The 19,903-nt window shown below is 44.3% G+C and overlaps 2 long non-coding RNA genes across 2 annotated transcripts in view, besides 2 other annotated features; both read left to right on the forward strand.

The window, feature by feature from the left end:
• LOC107986933 (uncharacterized) overlaps positions 1-19,903 on the forward strand; it is a 207,238-nt gene that overhangs the window by 35,669 nt on the left and 151,666 nt on the right. The gene's annotated exons all lie outside the window — the stretch shown is intronic.
• On the forward strand, positions 4,808-19,284 carry LOC105379333 (uncharacterized). Its single transcript, XR_949596.1, has 3 exons — positions 4,808-4,884; positions 5,496-5,886; positions 19,246-19,284. It is a non-coding gene; the product is annotated as an uncharacterized LOC105379333 (long non-coding RNA).
• Positions 9,530-10,133: an enhancer, noted in NCBI's record as "OCT4-NANOG hESC enhancer chr8:25532846-25533449 (GRCh37/hg19 assembly coordinates)". NCBI's record gives its function as "activates a minimal SCP1, AML or CMV promoter by ChIP-STARR-seq in naive H9 embryonic stem cells {active_cell/tissue: H9 hESC(naive)}" and the evidence as "EXISTENCE:reporter gene assay evidence [ECO:0000049][PMID:30033119]".
• Positions 13,734-14,307: an enhancer, noted in NCBI's record as "NANOG hESC enhancer chr8:25537050-25537623 (GRCh37/hg19 assembly coordinates)". NCBI's record gives its function as "activates a minimal SCP1, AML or CMV promoter by ChIP-STARR-seq in primed H9 embryonic stem cells {active_cell/tissue: H9 hESC(primed)}" and the evidence as "EXISTENCE:reporter gene assay evidence [ECO:0000049][PMID:30033119]".

The raw sequence follows: 19,903 nt of genomic DNA on the forward strand, positions 1-19,903 counted from the left end.
CATGGTTTGCCTGGAACTCCAGATCCTGTTGCATGCAGATTTCTGTGGCCATGTTCTTTCCTGGTTAAAGGCCTAGTCATCACATCACATATCCTCTGCTTGCCTGATTAGACTTTCCTCCACTGGTTGCTCCTGGGTCCTGGCTCTTTTTACCCATCCCATCTAACCAGCTTCCTGAGTTACTTAGTTTGAGCCACTGTTTTGACAAAAGTTGAGGTTGCCTTGGGTGGCCTATATAAATTAGGGTGGTAAGGAATAGCTACACAGGGAGGAGGAAATGGAGATGAAGCAGACTCTGTTGTCTTATTAATGTTGTCTAGCTCTCCCAGGATACTAGTACACTTTGGCAGGCTTTAACAGGACTTACGCTTTACTGCCTCTGCACTCCACTGGCACCAGAGATGTCTTCCACACCCCCCTTTCCCATTCTTCATCTACCCATCCTCTGAGAGCCATGTCAAGCCTTATCGGCTCAGGTCACAAGACTAAGTGGTCTCCCCTCCTCTGAAATGGCATGCCACATACTATCTGTAGCCTCCCCACTCTACACATAGCCCAATTAATTCCCATTTCTTCAGATCTCAACCAAAAATCACTCTTCCTCCAGGAAGCCCTCCCTGGCTACACAAACAGGCCAGATCCCTCTGTTTAGATGCTCATGAACCCCTGTTACTTTTCTTTAATTCCAATTAGTAGGTTGTTAATTAAATGTTTATTTGAATGAAGAATTGATTCCCAACACTCTCCCATGAGGACAGAATCTGGTCTCTTCCACTCACTACTGTATTCTCCAAGGTCCAGTAAGGTAACACCCATATACTCTCTTGAACCTTGTTTACTCTCTTGAACATTTATGTAAACACTGATTACTTGCCTAAAGATCTTTTCTCTTGAGCTGATTTGCATCCTCCTTGAAGGCAGTTCCATCTTTCTGTTGTTCCTTCACAGTCCAGCACTGTTCTGAATAAATATACGTCAATTTGGTGTTTCAGTTGTAGGAGACATTATTTGATCATTAGTCTGAATTTACACCATATGAACTGTGAAGGAGACTTCTTCCTGAACATTTTACTGAACTGAACTGGGATCCGCTTGCAGGCCCAGCAAGGCTAAACACCCACACCAAGATTTTGCAGGGAAAGAAAGGAAAGCGTTTATTTGCAGGGCACCAAGCAAGGAGAATTGGGCCACTCATGCTTAAGACCCGACCTCCCCGATGACTTACAAGCGAAGGCTTTTAAGGGCAGGGGTAAATTTCAGGAAAGCAGAAGTTACAGGCAAAACTGTAAATTAATACGTGGATGTTAAACATTAGTTTAATATTTGTTAAACATTAGTTTATCCCACCTAAAAAGGTGGGTTTAGGTGGGATATCTGGAAATGGAGGCTTACAGGCCACAGGTGGATTCAGAGATTCTGATTTGTGATTGGTTAAGGAATGGAAGCTCTGTCTAAAAACTTCGGTCAGCAGAAAGAAATGTTGAGTTCTGGCCTATGGATGTGCCTTCCTCCAGGCCCCTCAGGAAGAAATACAGAACAAAGAATGGCAGAGTTCAGTCCTCAGTTTCCCCTTGAGGTCTATGTGCCAGGGGATTCATTTAGTGGGGGCCTAGCTTTCTGAAAAACACTTCAGAGGCATATGTTAAGATGTTCTCTTTAGTTTCCATAGGGAGCCAAATATCTTGTGACTAATTTCCTTGGCTATTGTTTTAAGCTACTATTACTTTCTTGCTTACCAAGTTGCTCATTTACTTCTCAGGGCTAGCTAGGTGCCTGTAATTTCCCTTCAGGGAACTCACGATTTTCCTTTATTTCCATGTTTGGGAGGGCCTGTTAGGTCCCTAAGAGGGGGTCCTTGCTGCATCTCAAACTTCCCATATAGAAGGGAAGTTATTATTGAACATCAGAGTTGTAGATAGATGTGGGAAGAGAAATGAAAAGGAAACATTCACCCTGGCTTAAGGCCACAGGAGGTTCTCACAACAGGACACTGTCTAGGGACAGCATCGGGATGAGGAAGCTCACGGGAGAAGGGTTGGTCTTGGGGTTTTAGGCCTGAGTCCACACTGTCTGCATTCCGTGGAGGCTACGCAACCTCCCCAGGCTTTGGTCCTTTTCCTTCCACACAATGCAATAGATGGGGTAGTGCCCGGTGAGCTATGGCACAATACATGGGTAGAAGATGATCATTTCAAGGAATCCAATAATATTCAACACTTGCCAGGGTTCTGGATGCAGGCTTCCATTTCTTTTTGCAATTTGGACCAAGTAATTAGATCTGTCTCTTTTTTTTTTCTTTTTGCAAAAGATGATGCTGCGATGGGGTAGAGGTGAATAGAAATAACTGCCTTCTCTCTGCAGAGTTGATGAAGCATCAACTGGGATAATAAATGTGAAAACACCATGAAATGAAAACATCTATTTAAATTCAAGAGGTTGTTATTTACAGTCTTTAAATGATATTTGCCCAGCTCTGGTTGTTTACTTTTAACACATCCCACAGAAACTGTGGAAACTACAAAAACCACATAAAGTGATGATTAAATTCAGAAACTCAATCTGACCTGATCTCTTTGGGTTGGCAATCTCTCTGTGCCGTTTTCTTGCTTAGGACTGAGGAAGCTTTATAGATGGACCATAAGGAGGAAGTCCAGGTGAGCTGGTGGGAGTGTGTGCCTTCAGAAAGGGGGGCCTAGCTTTGGTTAGGCCTGCAGATGGATTCCTTGTCAGTTTCAGAGGATTTAGTGACCCTGCACTTCAATTGCCCCAAACCAAAAATTGATCTGGGACTGTGCAGGGGAGAAATGGTGAACTGTATTTTGCAGGACAGGAAAGAATAAGATAGACGGGGAGAGAAATGCTCACCAAAGACCATGAGCTCATTCTTAAGCATCAGTGCAACAGTCTTGTTGATGTATCTTACCAGAAGCCCTAAGCAGAGGAGTTAAACATGTAGGATTTGTAGTCAGGCAGGTTTGAGTTCAAATTTTGCCTCTACCCAGGAGCCCAGGGTAAGTTACTCTTCCTCTCTGTGCCTTAGTTTCCTATCTGCGTGGGAAGATGAAGTCCCTATCTCCAATGATTATTGTGATGATATATGGGCATTCAATAAATGTTAGTTTCTTTTTATTACTATGGGCACAACATCTTCTGTATTATTAGTTCAAGCCTTTTAGTTGTTTGAAGTCATTGGCACTTTCTAATCTCAGAGTTCTCAGAAGCAGCATGGTGAACTGGGAGTAGATTCCATAAAGAATAGGGTTCTGTTGGATGTGCCAGTAACAGCTCTGTGACCTTGGGCAAGTTACTTAACTTTTCCAGCCTTGTTTTCCTGGACAGTAAAAAAGGTTGCAGGCCAGGCGCAGTGGCTCATGCTTGTTATGCTAGCACTTTGGTAGGCCAAGGCGGGTGGATCACCTGAGGTCAGGAGTTCGAGACCAGCCTGGTCAATATGGTGAAACCCCATCTCTACTAAAAAATAAAAAGTACAAAAAGTTAGCTGGGCCTGGTGGCGGGCACCCCTGTAATCCTAGCTACTTGGGAGGCTGAGGCAGGAGAATCTCTTGAACGCAGGAGGCAGAGGTTGCAGTGAGCCAAGATCGCACCATTGCACTCCAGCCTGGGCAATAAGAGTGAAACTCTGCCTCAAAAAAAAAAAAAAAGAGGGTTGCACGTTGTCAACAAATACCTATTGAACACCCTGGATGTTCAAGACATGTGAATGACTCGAAGAAGTGGCAGCTGCAGAAGTGATGGCCAATGTGGAAAAGGGGGTTGGTGGGGATTGGCAGAGATAGGGGAGTCCACATGCGAAACCCCAGTGAGGGGGCAGGACTGAGAGTTTGTAGGTACCCTCTTCCAGGGTGTAGGAGGAAATGGAGAATGCAGGTGTAGGGGCTAAGGGGAACTTCAGTGAACTCTGAAGTTTCACTGAAAAATCAACTTATAATAGACAGATTAATTGGAGAAAAGGCATACAAATTGATTTAACATGTATGCACAGGAGCCTTCAGAATGAATACCCAAATATACAGGGAAAATTGTTTATTTTTATGCTTAGGTGCAACAAAGTATGGATAGCCATGTAGAAATACGATTGGACAAAATGGATGTGTTCTAATGCTAACAGACTGAGTTAGGAAACCCAGCGAGGCCTATCTGTCTAGCTCCTTCCTGGCCTCTCTGAGTGTGCATTCCTTCCTTCTGGGTGTGGGGCAGGCCCTCTCTGGAATGAGGGTCCTATGACCTACAGTCAAATAAGGTAGGTCAGATAATTTCTTTATGGCCTATTTTTACACAGAAAGGCAGAGGAAGTTTAGAGTAATATTTTTAGGTTTTATGGCTGACTTGGAAGAAGGGGTTCTGGTTTCTATGACTGGCCTCGGGGAAAAGGGATTCTAGTTTCCATGGCTAACCTTGAGGGGAGAGAGAGGAGTGCAGGAGGTGAGAGAAAAACTTGCTTCTGAGGCTGCCTCTGAAGGCTTTGTTTGGGGATGTTGTGTTTTCTGAGTCCCAACACTGTTGAATAAGTTAACACCTGGATGGCCGAGTTGATCATAAAATAGACATGTAAGCCAGGGTCTGCAGCGGGAGGAGTCTGGATGGTTTCAAGGGTGGAGGTAGGTACAAGAGTTAGCCTCCCCTAACCCCTGGAGGGGTAGTGGGAGGAGGACAGCAGCTCTGCAGTGAGCAAGGAAGCCCAGGACAACCCAAATCCACTGGGCTGGGGGCTGCACCTGCCGCACGGGGGCTGGCCCCAGGTGGGCGGGGTGGAGGCGGGGCTTCTTCGGCGCTCGCTGATTGGCCATCCGTGCAGGCAGGTGCGGTCTGGCACCTCGGGATCCCAACGGGTGGCCGCCTGCGTGGCTGCCTGCCTCACCTCAGGTTGTTCATCACGCTCAGGCTAATTTCCCACTCTGAGAGCTAATGCTGATCAGCCCTAAGCCTCACACGCAGTCAGGCTCCAGCCACTTTAATTTCTGGCTGGGAATTAGAGAGGAGGCTGTGCTGCCCCCATGCCCCTTTCCTGTAGATGTTGCTGTCGATCACCACACACCCAACAAACACCTCCTTTTCCTACATTACTCCCCTCAGCCCCCTGATCTCCCCATCTCCACCATTTTGCGGGGGAGGGGGGGCAACACTTCCCCCTCTTAATGTCACCCCATCCACTGCCAAGTACATTCTGATTTTAAAGAGGCGTCCTCTAGGTTGACATCCTAGCATGAAGAGGCAGCGTTTGACCTTCCTTGGTTACCACACTGTCGATTCGGCTGGTGTGGATGGAAAGGCTCCCACACTCACTCCTCCTTCTGTCTCTTAAAAAAAAAAATCACCCACCTCCCCTTTCAAATAAAAAAAGAGAGGGAGAGGGAGGGAGAGAGAATTTGACATTGTATAATTTAAAATTGCACAGCCTAGAGCCCACAAAACCGAGCATGTAATTACACACTTACTAGAGGTAACAGCAGTGCTGATAATTATTCTTTACACAGGAGAGACCCTGCTGATATCCCACAGTCAGAAAGTGGGAACTACAATATCTTTAATACCATCCTCAGAGACCCTCATAAGCAGAAGAGAAGTATGAGAAAGCTCACAAGGTCCACAGCAATATCTTCATCGCGCCAGAATGTCAGGGGCTTTAGCACAACAGAAATCAATAGTTTCTAGTACATTTTTTGGTACAATTTTTTTTTAATGACCTAACCTGAGAAAGTACAGGGAAGGCAGAGGTACAGAACAGTAGGAAACAAAACCTCCTTAACCGAAGGCCTATTTAGACATGTCATGCAACGTCAGTTTAGGAGAGACGCGTTCTTTATCTGAGCCACACAACCGGGCAGCTGGAGCGAGGTCTTGGTCCTGGAGTGCTTTCGGTCATAGGTAAAGCCTTTTTGTTTAAAGCATGAACTGGTCCTTCTCCCCGTATTTCCTGATTAAGGCAGCACCTTGACTAATTATTGGCTATAAAGTTGTGCAGTATTAAATCTCTAAAGAGAGGAGATTAATATCCAGGCATTTCTTTCCAGGCATTTGGCCCTTTTCTGCTCCTTTCTCCCTATGGACAGAAAATGAGTTGGTTGCGTTTTAAAAAATAAGACCAAGCATCAGTTGAAACACTGAGAAATTTAAAGCAACAGTCAGTGATGCCACACAGCGAAGTAAATGGTTTTTGTGTTAAAAAAAAAAAAAAAAGTCAAAGTATAAGTTTAATACTATAACTTGTTTTCAAAAGGAGACCATTTTGGTGTTTGCATCTCTATGCTAACTACAGAAGGTGACAAATGGTTACCTATTTCTACTCCATAACCATAGCCAAGTTCTTATGTAGTTTGCTCTTAAAAATGCTTCTTCATTGTTTTCAGGTTGTGCTGATGTTCTGATTTGACAATGTGCATTAATTCAGCTGGGCTAATAAACCAATTTAATTGGGTCCATTGTTCAGTAGAAATGGCAGCCAATTTTTGCTTGGGGCTTAGGGGAAGGACACTCTGACTGATTATTTACCGTGTGCCAGGCATAAATGGATAGATGCATTTCTGTACATTAGTCATTTAAGACTCATACTGCTTCTGTGCACTTTGTAGTATCCTCCTATTTTAAATATGAAAAAACTGAGACTCAAACAGGTGAACTCGGCCAAGGTCACACAGCTGATAAAGATGGAAGAGCAAAGACTCCACTCAGCTCTGTCGACTTTGGACAGAAGGGTGTATTGTTTCATTTTACCATTCGAATGGTATGGCCAAGCCAGTGAGTTTAAAGGGAGTGGGAAGCTCAGAGCAGGGAGGCCCTCGGAGATGCCTTTACAAAATGTCTTTTGGTGAGGACATCACATCACAACGTATGGACAAAGAAACACAGTGCCAGAGGAGTCTTTGGTGACTCCCCAGGGAAACCGATTCTAGGGGCAGCAGACGCCAGGCTGGTCTGCACCTGGGGCCCAGTGAAGGCAGCAGTTAGCTATTAGGCCACCTGAAAAGAGGGAATTAGAGGACAGGCAGATGTTTTCAATGCATGAGCAAAAGTGAAGACATTGGCCTGAGAAGTAGAGAGCTCAAGGCCAGAAGTCTGAGGGGATGAATGGAGTTACATCTGTTGGAGGTGTTCAGATTTCCGGTACGCAGGGTTATTCCGGATATTTCAGCTATGTTAACTGGCTTTTTGGTTTGTTCTGGGTGGAGTGGGGGCCATGACATCCCTGACGCTGCTAATTTAAAGAGGCTGTGTTAGCAGACTCAGGGTAAGGACTACAGGTATATAAAGGCCTTATCAGCGGCGGCCACAGACTATTTACTCTGAGCCTCCCACGGCGGCTGGCTCCAATACTGTGTAATTTCTGCTGCTTTTGAGAAAGGTGCAGGATACTTACTGCTTATTAGGGCTCGTGCTTGAACCTTAAAAGAGAGTAATCAGCAAGACCATCTCTGTGCACGTTGGTAGGAAATTGGAATTTGTCTTTTGGTCTGTATCTCTGTTTGCCTCCACTTCAGCGACCTCAGCTGAATCCTAGTGACCCAAGAGCCTGGATGATAACCTATGGTGTGATCCATCTCGCGGCTGTATTCTCATTGGTATAAAAGGCTTCAAAGGGCCGGGCATGGTGGCTCACGCCTGTAATCCCAGCACTTTGGGAGGCCAAGGTGTGTGGATCACCTGAGGTGAGGAGTTCACAACCAGTCTGCTCAACATGGTGAAACCCCGTTTCTACTAAAAAAAATATTAGCTGGGCATGGTGGAGCATGCGTGTAGTCACAGCTACTTGGGAGGCTGAGGCAGGAGAATCACTTGAACCCTGGGGATGGAGGTTGCAGTGAGCCAAGATCACGCCACTGCACTCCAGCCTGGGTGACAGAGTGAGACAACATCTCAAAAAAAAAAAAAAAAAAAAAAAAAGGCTTCAAAGACGTCTCAAACCTTTGGAGAGAGAAGGTTGCATGATAGACAATGTGATGGAAGTCTGGGGACAGGGGACTTCGTCCAGCATCCTCTCAACTCACATATTAGTGTAGCTTACCCACTTGGTCCTTTGTAAATCAATCCCCATCTGTACTTCAAGAGCACAGGCTTCTGGAGGACAAATAAAGGAGGAAGCCTCCCTGGGGAGGGAGGGGCCTATGTTAGGGCCTAGTCTGGGCTGAAGGTCTGGAGCACAGAAGTTCAGCAAGGCAGGAAGCTTGACCTTTGCAACCAGAACAGTTTGGGATGCAGCTGCTCTCCAGGCCCTGGCTGTTTGGATCTTGACTCTTTTGTACTTTCTGCCCAAATGGTCAGTGGCCCCGGGAGCTGGGATGGCAGGAGTTAAGGAAAGGGAGCAAGATGAGTTCCTGTTGGTGACTCATGCCAGGAATTTCTTCAGGTCCCCGTGGGGGAGAGGTCATTGGAGACAAGGCCTTCTAGGATCCCCAGTTTAGGCTACTGACTCATACACAAATCCTTTCTCTTAACATAGCCATGATTATTTATGAGAATTAGCAAATTGAGAGTGTAGGCATTGGAGTCAAACATGTGACTTTGAGTTCCAATTGGGCTATTTCTCAGCTGCGCAACTTTGGGCAAGTTATTCTCTCTGACACTCAGTTTTTTTTTGTTTGTTTGTTTTTTGTTTTTCCTGAGAAATGAGAATAAAACTCTCTCCTTTGGGGTTCCTATTAATAACAAATAATAGATGGAACTTAGTAGAGACTCAATACCAGTTTCTTTCACCTCTTCTTTCTCCATCAGTTTCCCACTCTCGACTTTTCCCTCCCCAAATTACAAGGCATCAGAAATTCAGGGGAAAGAAGAAGAGGGCCAAGGGAAATGACACACCAGTGAAACATTGCTTGAGGGATGAGTCTCAACTTCTGGGGTGGGATCACTCACCCCACAGGAGATCCCCTTGGCTTGTCTATTGCATTTCTAAACCCAGAGGCAAATTGAAGCCATCATAAGTATGAGAGATAATGTAGAAATTGCAACAAATATTCGAAGAAATAAAACTACCAATACCTCTTCGCCACCTCCAATATCAGAGAGGGCTCATGGGGAAGAGAGTGGGGAGAGGGGATATCTTAGAATCATTCACCTCTTGTTGCTATTGTTGTTAAATAGCACTCCTGGCACTTCAAACTGAAAAGCAGTGTTGGCACTCAAGTCTTTTTTTTTTTTTTTTTTTTTTTTTTGAGACACAGTCTCACTCTGTTGCCCAGGCCGGAGTGTAGTGGCATGATCATAGTTCACTGCAGCCTCAACCTGTCAGACTCAAGCAATACTCCTGGCTCAGCCTCCCGAATAGCTGAGACTATAGGTGCACAACACCACACCTGGCCAATTTTTTTATTTTTAGTAGAGATTGGGGTCTCGCTATGTTGTCCAGGCTTGTCTTGAACTCCTGAGCTCAGGTGATCCTCCCACCTTGGCCTCCCAAAGTGCTGGGATTACAGGTGTGAGCTACTGCACCGGGTTAGGTGTCCAAGTGTTTAGGTCGTCTGAGACTGCAGGTCACTCATTTACCATAAAGGGAAGGGAGTCAGGATTATTAATAACCAGAATTGCCCTAGAGTGAAGGGCTTCCTTTTCATATTCATATATTCGAAAGATGGAGCTGCTCATGGGCCCCTTTTTGGCCTCTTTGTGCTTTCTTCTGGTAGTGGGTAGGTTAGAGAACACGGTAAAACACACGACTTTGCCATGTCTTGGGTCTTTTCATCCTCCGTCCACCTCCCGCCCCCACCTACCCCCGAACCTTCCCTCCTTTGTGCAAATCTGTTTTCGCCACAGGAGCACATGCTGTCTCTTCTAGCTACAACACTACTTGCTAATTCAACGATTCATCTTTAATGAGGCCCCCTGCCAATGTTTAAATAGCATTCAGAACAAAGAAAAGGCAGTATTTCCAAAACAGCTGCTTCTGCTGCATCCTCATAGCTCATCTCTCAGAAAATCAAGAAAAATACCTTGACAGATGATGGAAAAATACCTGGCTATTATAGATAGAGATACTATCTATATATCTATAAATGGATATGGATAAAGATAAAATACCCACTTCTGTGATGCCAGAGATCTTGAATATAAGCATCCTAAAAAGTTTTGTTGGGTTTAGATAGTGCTACTTCAGGGAGGCTTTTCTTTATGATTTTGGTTCTTTTCAGAATTGTTTGGGAAACATATTTAGTCATGGAAAGAGCACGCAATTTGGGATTAGTTAAATCTAGGCCCACCTTTGAGCTCTGTCACAGACTAGCTGTGTAAGTGGGTAGATCATGTGAGTTCTCTGCCCATATGTTACGTTATTGGTAAGATGAAGATAATACTTTCTTCCTTTCTGGATATATGTCAGCGTGGCTAGCTCAATGTTTGGCAAATAGTAGACCTGCAACCATTTCTTTATTTTATATTTTATTTTTTGAGACAGGGTCCTACTTTGTCACCCAGGCTGGAGTGCAGCGGTGCGATCTCGGCTCACTGCAACCTCTGCCTCCCGGGTTTAAACAATTCTCCTGCCTCAGCCTCCAGAGTAGCTGGGATTACAGGAACGTGCCACCACACCCGGCTAATTTTTTGTATTTTTAGTAGAGACAGGGTTTCATCATGTTGGCCATGGCTGGTCCCGATCTCCTGGCCTCAAGTGATCCACCTGCTTCGGCCTCCCAAAGTGTTGGGATTATAGGTGTGCCACCACAGCTGGCCATTTCTTGGTTTTAAATTCAGGACCCTCTAAAATCATAAAGCATTGGCAGAGTCCAAAGGACTCTGTGCCTGTGTTTCCAGAAGTGCTGCTCCAGGGGCAATAAGTCTTCTCAGTAGCCATCTCTCTAATGTGCCTCATCAATTCCACACCTTTGAGTAAGAAAGGATGAGCATCATGTAGAGAAGGAGGCTTGGGGAAGTCACAGTTGCTTTTATGAGTTTTTAAAAGGGAGATTTAAAATAACAGAGACTAGAAAAACAATAAATGAACCCAAGGAAACTAGAAGAAAGGAATAAATGTGTTTCAAACAATTAACAAACTGTAACACAGAAATATGGTAGAATTGATTTAAAACCATACATGGTTCTTTGAAAGGGGGAGAAATGTAAACTTTGAAAAAGAATTGAATTAAGAAAACATTTAACATCAGGCCTGAGCTAAAACCTATAGACACAAATGAAGAAACTTTTAAATTATTGGGGAAAGATGAGGCAGATGTTCAGAGAGATATGAAGGAAAAGTGAGGGAATGGGAGGAGGAGGAGGAGGAAGCCAGGCTTGTCCCTCCTGCTGCCTGTCTGGTCAATTCTTCCTTGAATTCCATCTGATGCTTTAATTTCATTTTTTGCTTTAGCCATCTTGAAGTTGATTTCTACTAGGTACTTGTAATTAAATGACCATTACTAATACAGTTGTGAAAATAGCAAGTTACAAAGTAGTTACTTTAATATGACCCTATTTTTGTGAAAGAAAATTGTGTGTAAATGTCTATAAAACAAAGCCTGGAAGTGTATACCCTAAAAATGATAACAATGGTTATATTTGGGGAATGGGATTATAAGTGCATTTTATTTTCTGCTTTTTGCTTGTATAATTGATTATGCATGAGTTATCAGGACAAGAGGGCTGTTTGGACTTGTGTGGATTAGTGGATTTGTAAGATTTAGCCTATCTGATTAGTTAAATATCTTGTTTATCTTCTTGGCCTTTAAAAGAGGAGTGTTAGAGCAATGATAATATGGCTGCATAAGGGCCAGACTGTTGTTGTATAGCAAGCAGGGGGTGACATCAATGAGACGAGAGAAGAGAGCACCAATTAGAAAGGTTAAAGGGCCAGATAAAGGAGCCAAGCAGGCGAATCCAGGGTTCACAGATCCTGATAGAGAACGGGGCTTTCTGTCTGATTGCCAAGAAACAGGAGATGCCTACATTGCTGTTGTAATCAGGAGTCATTTGGTTGCAAGGACAGAAATTCCTTCAAGCTTAAAGTTTACAAAGAAGGCTCCATAAAAGGATACAGGGACATCACATTGACCCCTAACTGTATAACTACGGCCTGCTACTCTGTCTCTGGATCTGGGTGGCCTCTCCTTACTTCTTTCTGCAGCTCAGATGTCTGTGTGAACTCCAAAGCTCCCTCCTTGATAACAGCAGGGAGAGCCAGCCTCTCCTACCCTGAGCTTCCATAGCACATTCCACTGTGCTGCAGTTTTCTCTCTTTCTCTCTCATCTCTCTTCTCTTCTCTCTTCTCTTCTCTTCTCTCTTCTCTTCTCTCTTCTCCTCTCTCTTCTTTTCTCTCTTCTCTTCTCTTTTCTTTTCTCTTCTGTCTTCTCTCTTCTTGCTTCTCGTCTCACTTCTCCTCTCGTCTCTCTTCTCCTCTTGTCTCTCTTCTCTTCTCGTCTCTCTTCTCTTCTCGTCTGTCTTCTCATCTCTCTTCTCTTCTCGTCTCTCTTCTCTTCTCGTCTCTCTTCTCTCGTCTCCCCCCTCGTCTCCCCTCTCCCCTCCCCTCTCCCCTCTTTTCTTTCTCTCCTTTCCTTTCCTTCTCTCTCTCTCCCTCTTTCCTTTCTTTCTTTCATCTCTGAGCTCATTATTGGTAGGAATGAACTTTTTCCTTTCTTTTTCATCAATCACCAGAAAACTGCTCAGTACTTATTTTGAATGACAAATATGACAGTGTGAGGGAAAGTACTGTATAAAGTTAAGTACTTTATAAAATTATCATAATCACAAGATAATATTTTGTTGTGTTCTTTCAAGGCAGCCTTTCTTGCTTTCTTACTCCAGGCCTGTTCCTGGTATAATATCCAGGCAGGCCAGTTGCAGAACTAAAATTAATTTTACCAATCCCTCTCTTGGTTCAGAAATCAGATGAGATGAGACACATGGAATTGCCTATTCCCATGCCTTCTGCATAGTAGCTGTTTATGCTTGCTTAAATCCCTGAGGAAGGTCCAATGGGAAGATGCACAAAAAAGAATTAGGTGTTCAGTAACTTCCTATGGCTCTGGAGGTTTTTAATGGGGAGACTCCAGCAGCTTGGCCTCAGTTGGGCCACAGTCCGTCAAAGAATCTTAATGCCCACATCAAGCTCCATTACATGACTTCTTGGTATGCATTTGACTTTTTTCATCTTCTCCCATGATCACATTTATTTTAATGTCCAGAATCTGCAGCTACACATACCCCCTCTTTGATACTTGTCTTTCTACTTGGCATGGCTCATAGATTGTTTTAATCATGCAATATGATCTCAATCTCTTTAGAAGTAGGCTTAGGTAGAAATAAATCCCCACTGAAATAGTGATTCCACTGTAGCTTTGCTCAGTGGCTTTTAGGAACATTCTCTGTTCAGCGGGACTCATCTTGGCCATGAACTTTTACCTATAGAGCACTAATTCCCATAACTTCCTTCAAGGAGATGTTAACTCAACAAATACTTAATTGAACATTAATACATACCACTGGGTCTCTGGTGTTGCTTATTTTGTTTTGTGATTACTAAACCAGTACCCCTGTATTCAGGGGATGCAGAACATAGAGGAAAGACAGGCAATCCTAGAATTTGTCTCAAGCCAGCTGTGGCAGTGATGTAGGGTAGCTTACACTTCCAGTGTATTCTTCATTTGCTTTTCTCTGATATAAAGTCTGGAAAGATCCGAACACGCCTTCCAAATTCCCCAGCAGTCTGGAGTGACTGTGTTCTGGCTGCAGTTGTTGTCGGTGAAACATCACAGAAGTGAGGCCTCTTTTCTTCTTTCTTCCTCCTCCCTGTTGTGAGTGTGGGGCTTGAGCTTGGCAGCCCTCTCCAAGGCTGGAAGAGAAAGAGAGGGGAGAGCTTGGTTCCTCGGTGCACACTCCAGCCCTGGACTGCTATGCTGATATTGCTTTGTGAGAGAAATAAACCCCTTATCATTTCAGCTGCTGTTTGTTTATGGGAGCTTGCAGGCTAAAGCAGTCTCAACTCACATATCTGCCCTCTCACAGGAGCCTTGGCTGGAGGGATCTTACTTCACTTACATTAGCTCATGAAGCCCATCTAGCATGATCTACATTACAATGGACAGTCTAACCCCCTCCCCGCAGGCATGGGCTGGCAAACTCTAGTTATAAGAGGATCTTTAATTAACAGCAAAAATCACATATGACATTATTTAATAGGCAGACAAGAAATCAGGGATGAATACCACTTCATTCACAACTGGCAGATTCCTTTCTCACTAATCCCTTTCCGCTTTCCATTTTGCTCCCCCCGTGACCCCAGCCTTCTAGCAGAAAATACTCCATTTACCCCTGAGCTGTCGACCTGTTTTCTTCTGCTCCTCTTCAATGTGGCCTTCTTATCTCATTTACCTTGCTCTTCTGTTTCCAGGCCCCCTTGCCTCCTGTGATGCATTTTAGTGAATTGTCTCCTTATTGGTAGCCTGGCTCTATTCTCACTCTCCAAGTCACACAGTAACTCTAGTAAGAAGGGACCAATGCTACATTTCCACAGAAATTGGGATCAAGTGCAGGAAAATACAGCTAAGGAGGAATGATTTGCTCCTGGGAGTAGGAGCTTTGGGTTGGAGAAAGCTTTGTACGGGATTTAATGTTTACATCGAGATGCGGAGGGGACAAAAGGATTTTTTTTTTTTTCCCTCAGAGAACAGAAGAAATAAATTCCAGAGGGAGGAAAGAGTGCAATCTAGATACAGGTGGGTGGCATTTTTGGGGAGCACTGCATAGTCTCTTATAGATAGAGACATGAGGAAGTGGTGTGAGAGTCCCTAAATATGAGGCTGGAAAGAGATATTTGGACCAGAGTTTGAAGAAAACAGAGAAGCTTGAAAGGGTTTTTTTTTTTTTTTTTTTTTTTTTTTTCACAGGTGAATGGTAACCAATCAAATCCTGGAAAGGAAACTAGACAGTGTTTTAATCAGGGAGAAGGAAAGGAACTATATTTAATAAATATAGTTTATTTTCTTTAAATTCACAGATCAATTTTCTTCTTACAATAAGCCTTGATGGTAGATAGATAAAATATTACACTCTCATTTCATAGCAGAATGAAGAACAACCAGTCAGGTAACTACGGGAGCAAGTTCACACCAGAAATGACTGGGGGCTTGGGCAGGGCAGGAGCAATGAGGATGGAGAGGAAGAGATGGATGACAGCTGTTTCAGGAATAAAGCCAATAACAAATGGAAACATTAAAACATCAAGTGGGCTAGTGAGGAAAGTCCAAGATGGGCATGAGCAAAGTCTCAGTGAATGAATTAATAAGACAGAGACGTGTTGTAGAGACAACCAGCAGGACCTGAATAGAGCTGATAGGATGTAGAATGAGTCAGATTAGGTGGGGCTTGATGGTGGTCCCTGCTGTCAAATGTTGCAGATAGGTCAAGGACATGTAAAACTCACAGAAACTTAATGGAGAGATTCTGCAACCTTTAGAAAGCACTCTTCACAAATAGGGCAGAAGCTAAATAGGAAGTGTCTGGAGAGTCAGTGGAAGGTAGGAATGGAGACCAGGCATGGGTGTAGCCTTATTTTCAGCACGTCTGATGGTCAACAAAGAAGAGATGCTGTGGAAAGTTAAGCACATGTGTGAGGGAGAGGGATTAAGCCTGAATAAAGGCCCTTTGAAGGGTTGGAGACCTTGTTGAGAAGTTGAAAGACTGCAAGGTGAATAGAAGGGGAGAGATCCCGGGTACAAGAAGGAAGGGAGGATAAAGATTCTCTGCATTTGTAGAGATTGTTACAGTTTATACAGTGCTTTTGCATTCAATGTCTCATATAGGGATATGTGGGACCAACATCACCACCCATTTGATAGATGGGTAAACTGAGGCTCACAGAGATCAAATGACTTTATTAGAGAGGGGAGACCGAGGATATGAACTCAGGATGCCTGAAACTGGTTAGGATTTTGTTGTTTGTTTTTATTCGTTGCCTTCCACACGAGGGAAAACATGACTTGAAAAACTACCACTTAAGAGTAACACATTTTTGTGGAGAAACACTCCCATTCATTGCCTACTTTGAATTTTCCACCACAATGACCCTGTGAGGTTGGCAGAATCAGCTTTTTTCTCATTCCATTGATAAGCAAACGCAGCCTCAGCAAGGCCAAGCAACTTCCATGATGCCACATAGCTAAGAAATGGCCAAGAAGGGCCTCAGACTCTCATCTTGACTCTTAGATGAACAGTCCGGTCGACAATGAGGCTTCTCCCTGCACTTGTGGATGAGAGGACAGCCTTTCAGCAGTGTGGCAGATAAACAGTGCATCTCCCCCATATTTCTGGTTCTCTGCTCCCTCCTGGAACCTGGAGGGTTGTATATTGCCATGCCCTTGGGTTAGGCATGACCATCTGACTTGCTTTGGACAATGCAGCATGAGCTGATGTGCAGTTCTTCACAGTCTTGTCTTCTACTGTCTGGGCTATTTTGGAAGAGAAAGGGATGGAAGCTGCTGGAATGTCAACTAACACCAGGAGGCTAGCTGCCTGGAAAGTTGCCTAAACCTGGAGCCAACTTTGAGTGAGTGAGAAATAAATTAAAATGCCTGATATCTGGAGATTGTTACAGCAGCATGATCTAGTTTATACAGTTGAACACCAACAAACTCTTCCCAGTGTAAAAAAAGAAAAATCCCAGTGCCTCATAGATAACCCTATCCCAAAGAGACAAGCATCTTCCCAGAATAACTGGGAAATAAACATCACTAAGTCCTTCTAGGAGTTAAAATGCCATCAGGACTTTTTTTTTTTTTTTTTTTTTTTTAAGGTTCTATTGGATGTTGAGTTTTTATTATGAGGTTGAGTTGTGAGCTTGAGGAGAAATTGTTTTTACAGATGTTCAGGGTGTGTTATGAGGAAATGGCCTTTTACAGGGGTTCAGATTGATGGGCTCTCTAGGGACCCCTTCTGACTACATGCGCAGAGGAAGTAGGGAGGGGCCTGAAGAGGCACAGAAGGACACCATGGAGTTTGAGGAAGACCAGGAAAAGGGGGTGGCTGAGTGATGAACTAGAACAAGATTTGGAGTCACATAGACTTGGGTAGAGTCCTGGCCAAATCACTTAACCTATCTGAGTCTTAAAATGGTTTTCTATACAATGGGAAAAATGATACTTGCCTTATAGAATTATAGTGAATTTAGATAGATTCAGTCACAAGTATGATTACTTTTGTATCCATGAGGGATTGGTTCCAGGCCTCCCCATCAGGATGCCCAAATCTGAGAATGCTCAAGTCCCTTGTATAAAATGATGTAGTATTTACACATGATCTATGCATATCTTCCTGTATACCTTGTCATCTCTAGATTACTTATAATACCTAATACAATGTAAATGCTATATAAATTGTTATTGTTTTTTATTTGTTATTTTTTTATTGTCCTACTGTTTCTTTGTTTGTTTGTTTTTTTGAGATGGGGTTTCGCTCTGCCACCCAGGCTAGAGTGAGTGGTGTAATCTCTGGTCACTGCAACCACCACCTCCCAGGTTCAAGCAATTCTCCCACCTCAGCCTCCTGGGCAGCTGGAATTATAGGCGTGCATCACCATTCCCGGCTAATTTTTGTATTTTTACTAGAGATGGGTTTTCACCATGTTGGCCAGGCTGGTCTCAAACTCCTGACCTCAGGTAATCCATCTGCCCTGGCCTCCCAAAGTACTCGGATTACAGGCATGAGCCACCACACCCGGCCGAATATTTTTTTTAATTTATTTTTTATTTTTAAAATTTTTTTAGAGACAGGGTCTCTCTCACTCTGTCACCTAGGCTGGAGTGCAGTGGTGCAATCATAGCTCACTGCAGACTCAAACTCCTGAGCTCAAATCATCCTTTTGCCTCAGCCTTTCTAGTAGCTGGAATTACTGGAACGTGCTACCATGCCTGGCTAATTTCTTTATTTTTATTTTTTTGTAGAGATGGATTCTTGCTATGTTGCCTAAGCTAGTCTTGAATTCCTGGGCTCAAGCGATCCTCCTACCTCAGCCCCCCAAAGCACTGGGATCACAGGCGTTAGCCAGCATGCCTGGCCACTATTTTCTGAGGTTGGTTGTATTCTTGAATGTGGAACCCATGGATATGGAGGGCCAACTGTAGCTTACAATGGGGACTTGATGGTCCAGTTCTTACTTTTTTCTCCTGAAGTGTCAAAGCAGTTGCTATAAACTGAACTGTGTGGCCTCAAAATTCCTGTTTTGAGGAATATCACAGTATTCCCCAGTGTGGTGGTATTTGCAGGTGGGGCCTTAAGAGATAGTTAGGTTTCCTGAGGTGATGAGGGTGGGGCACTCATGAGGGGATTTGTGGCCTTGAAGAATTAGTGTCATGGGAAGACAGAGAGAAGGCTGCTGTCTGAAAGCCAGAAAAAGAGCCCTCAGCAGAACCCAGCCATGCTGGTGTCCTGATCTCAGCCTTCCAGCCTCCAGAACTGTGAGAATATGAATGCTTGTTGTTTAAGCACTCAGTCTGTTGAATTTTGTTATGGCAGCCGGAGCTAATATAGACCTGGGTTTGAACAGGGAGTTAGAAGCTTCTACTTCTTGTCTACTTTTATTGCTTCTTTTGTGACTACATTTTGGGGTGGTGAGACCTTGGGAAGTGCAGTTTGGGCAGGGTGGGGTGGGGGTACCCTCTTTGTAGAAGTTGCATTTGAGTCTTAAATGCTGAGAGCAGCCAGGGTGTGGCTGGGGAGAAAGGAGCACACTGCTGGCTGCTTAGAGCTGGCTCCAAGGTCATGGTTCTAAGTGGGCCTTCTGCATTGTCTGGTCTTGCTTACCAGAAAATTGATTTAGGGTAGGCTTGGAGTCAGTATGAAACAGAATTCCACAAGCTGAGTGTCCTATCTGACACCACTCTTGGGAGCCCCAGCAAAGTGTGCTGGGCATTGGCATTGGGTGTCAACTAGGGGAGGCAAAGGGAACCCCCAATATATTGGCCCCAAGGGAGAATTTTGTGGTGTCCCCTTTCCAGAGCCCTGATCTTGTACCTGTCACCTCAAGCATTTTTTCCTCTTGCTTGGAAGGTTGTGCAGTTCTAAAAGAGGACATTGGATGTTGTAATCTTTTCCTTAACACAGGTTTCCCAATCTTTATTTGTTCACACCCAATTGTCACATTCTTTAGTTGTTGTATCTGTGAAATGTCCATCCTATCATTTATTTCATAATGCCTCAAAATGGACTCATTTTATTTAAACATATACTTTAGTTTTATGTTAAGCAATACTATTAACGAAATTAGAGTCTGTGTTTATCTTCATTTTTAAAAAATTATTATTTTTTTTTTGTAGAGATGAGGTCTCCCTGTGTTGCCCAGACTGGACTTGAACTCCTGGCCTCAAGAGGTCCTCTCACCTCGGCCTCCCCAAGTGCTGGGACTAGGCATGAGCCATCATGCCCAGTCTCCCTTTTTTTTTTTTTCCTCGAGCACACATTACAATAAATATGTCACTTAAAATTTTTAGAGAATATTCATGAATGCCCCACCTCACATCACCTTGGGGACCACTCATAGGACACGAACCACATTTGGGGTACTCGCTTTAGGAGCTGAGGCGAGCAGGGTACCTTACAGATGGGGGTGGGACAAAGGGCGTTTGCAAGGAGCAGCAACGTTCTCGCAGCGCCAGCCCCATGGGTGGCCTCCATCTCGGTGGAGCCTCCGTCTTGGCACTGCCATCTGCTCTGAGCGAGCAGGCTTTTGTGAGAAGCTGTGGGAGGGTAAGCCTGGCTGATTGGCTGGAGCCGTGCCCAGAGTGCCCAGATGTACATTTGCCCCAAAAGAGGGGGCACAGCTGGGGTTCACTGTCTCCCTGGAGGGCTGGTTTTTCTGGTGCAGCTCAAGGCTGCCTCCCTCTTTCCTGCCGCGCATTCTGCTCAGCTGGGCGGCGAGGAGCTGGCCCAGAGCGGCACCGCGAGCTCCCTCACCGCCGTCTGCCTGCCATTTGC

The sequence above is a fragment of the Homo sapiens genome, chromosome 8, assembly GCF_000001405.40.
Source record: "Homo sapiens chromosome 8, GRCh38.p14 Primary Assembly".
Lineage (NCBI taxonomy): Eukaryota > Metazoa > Chordata > Mammalia > Primates > Hominidae > Homo > Homo sapiens.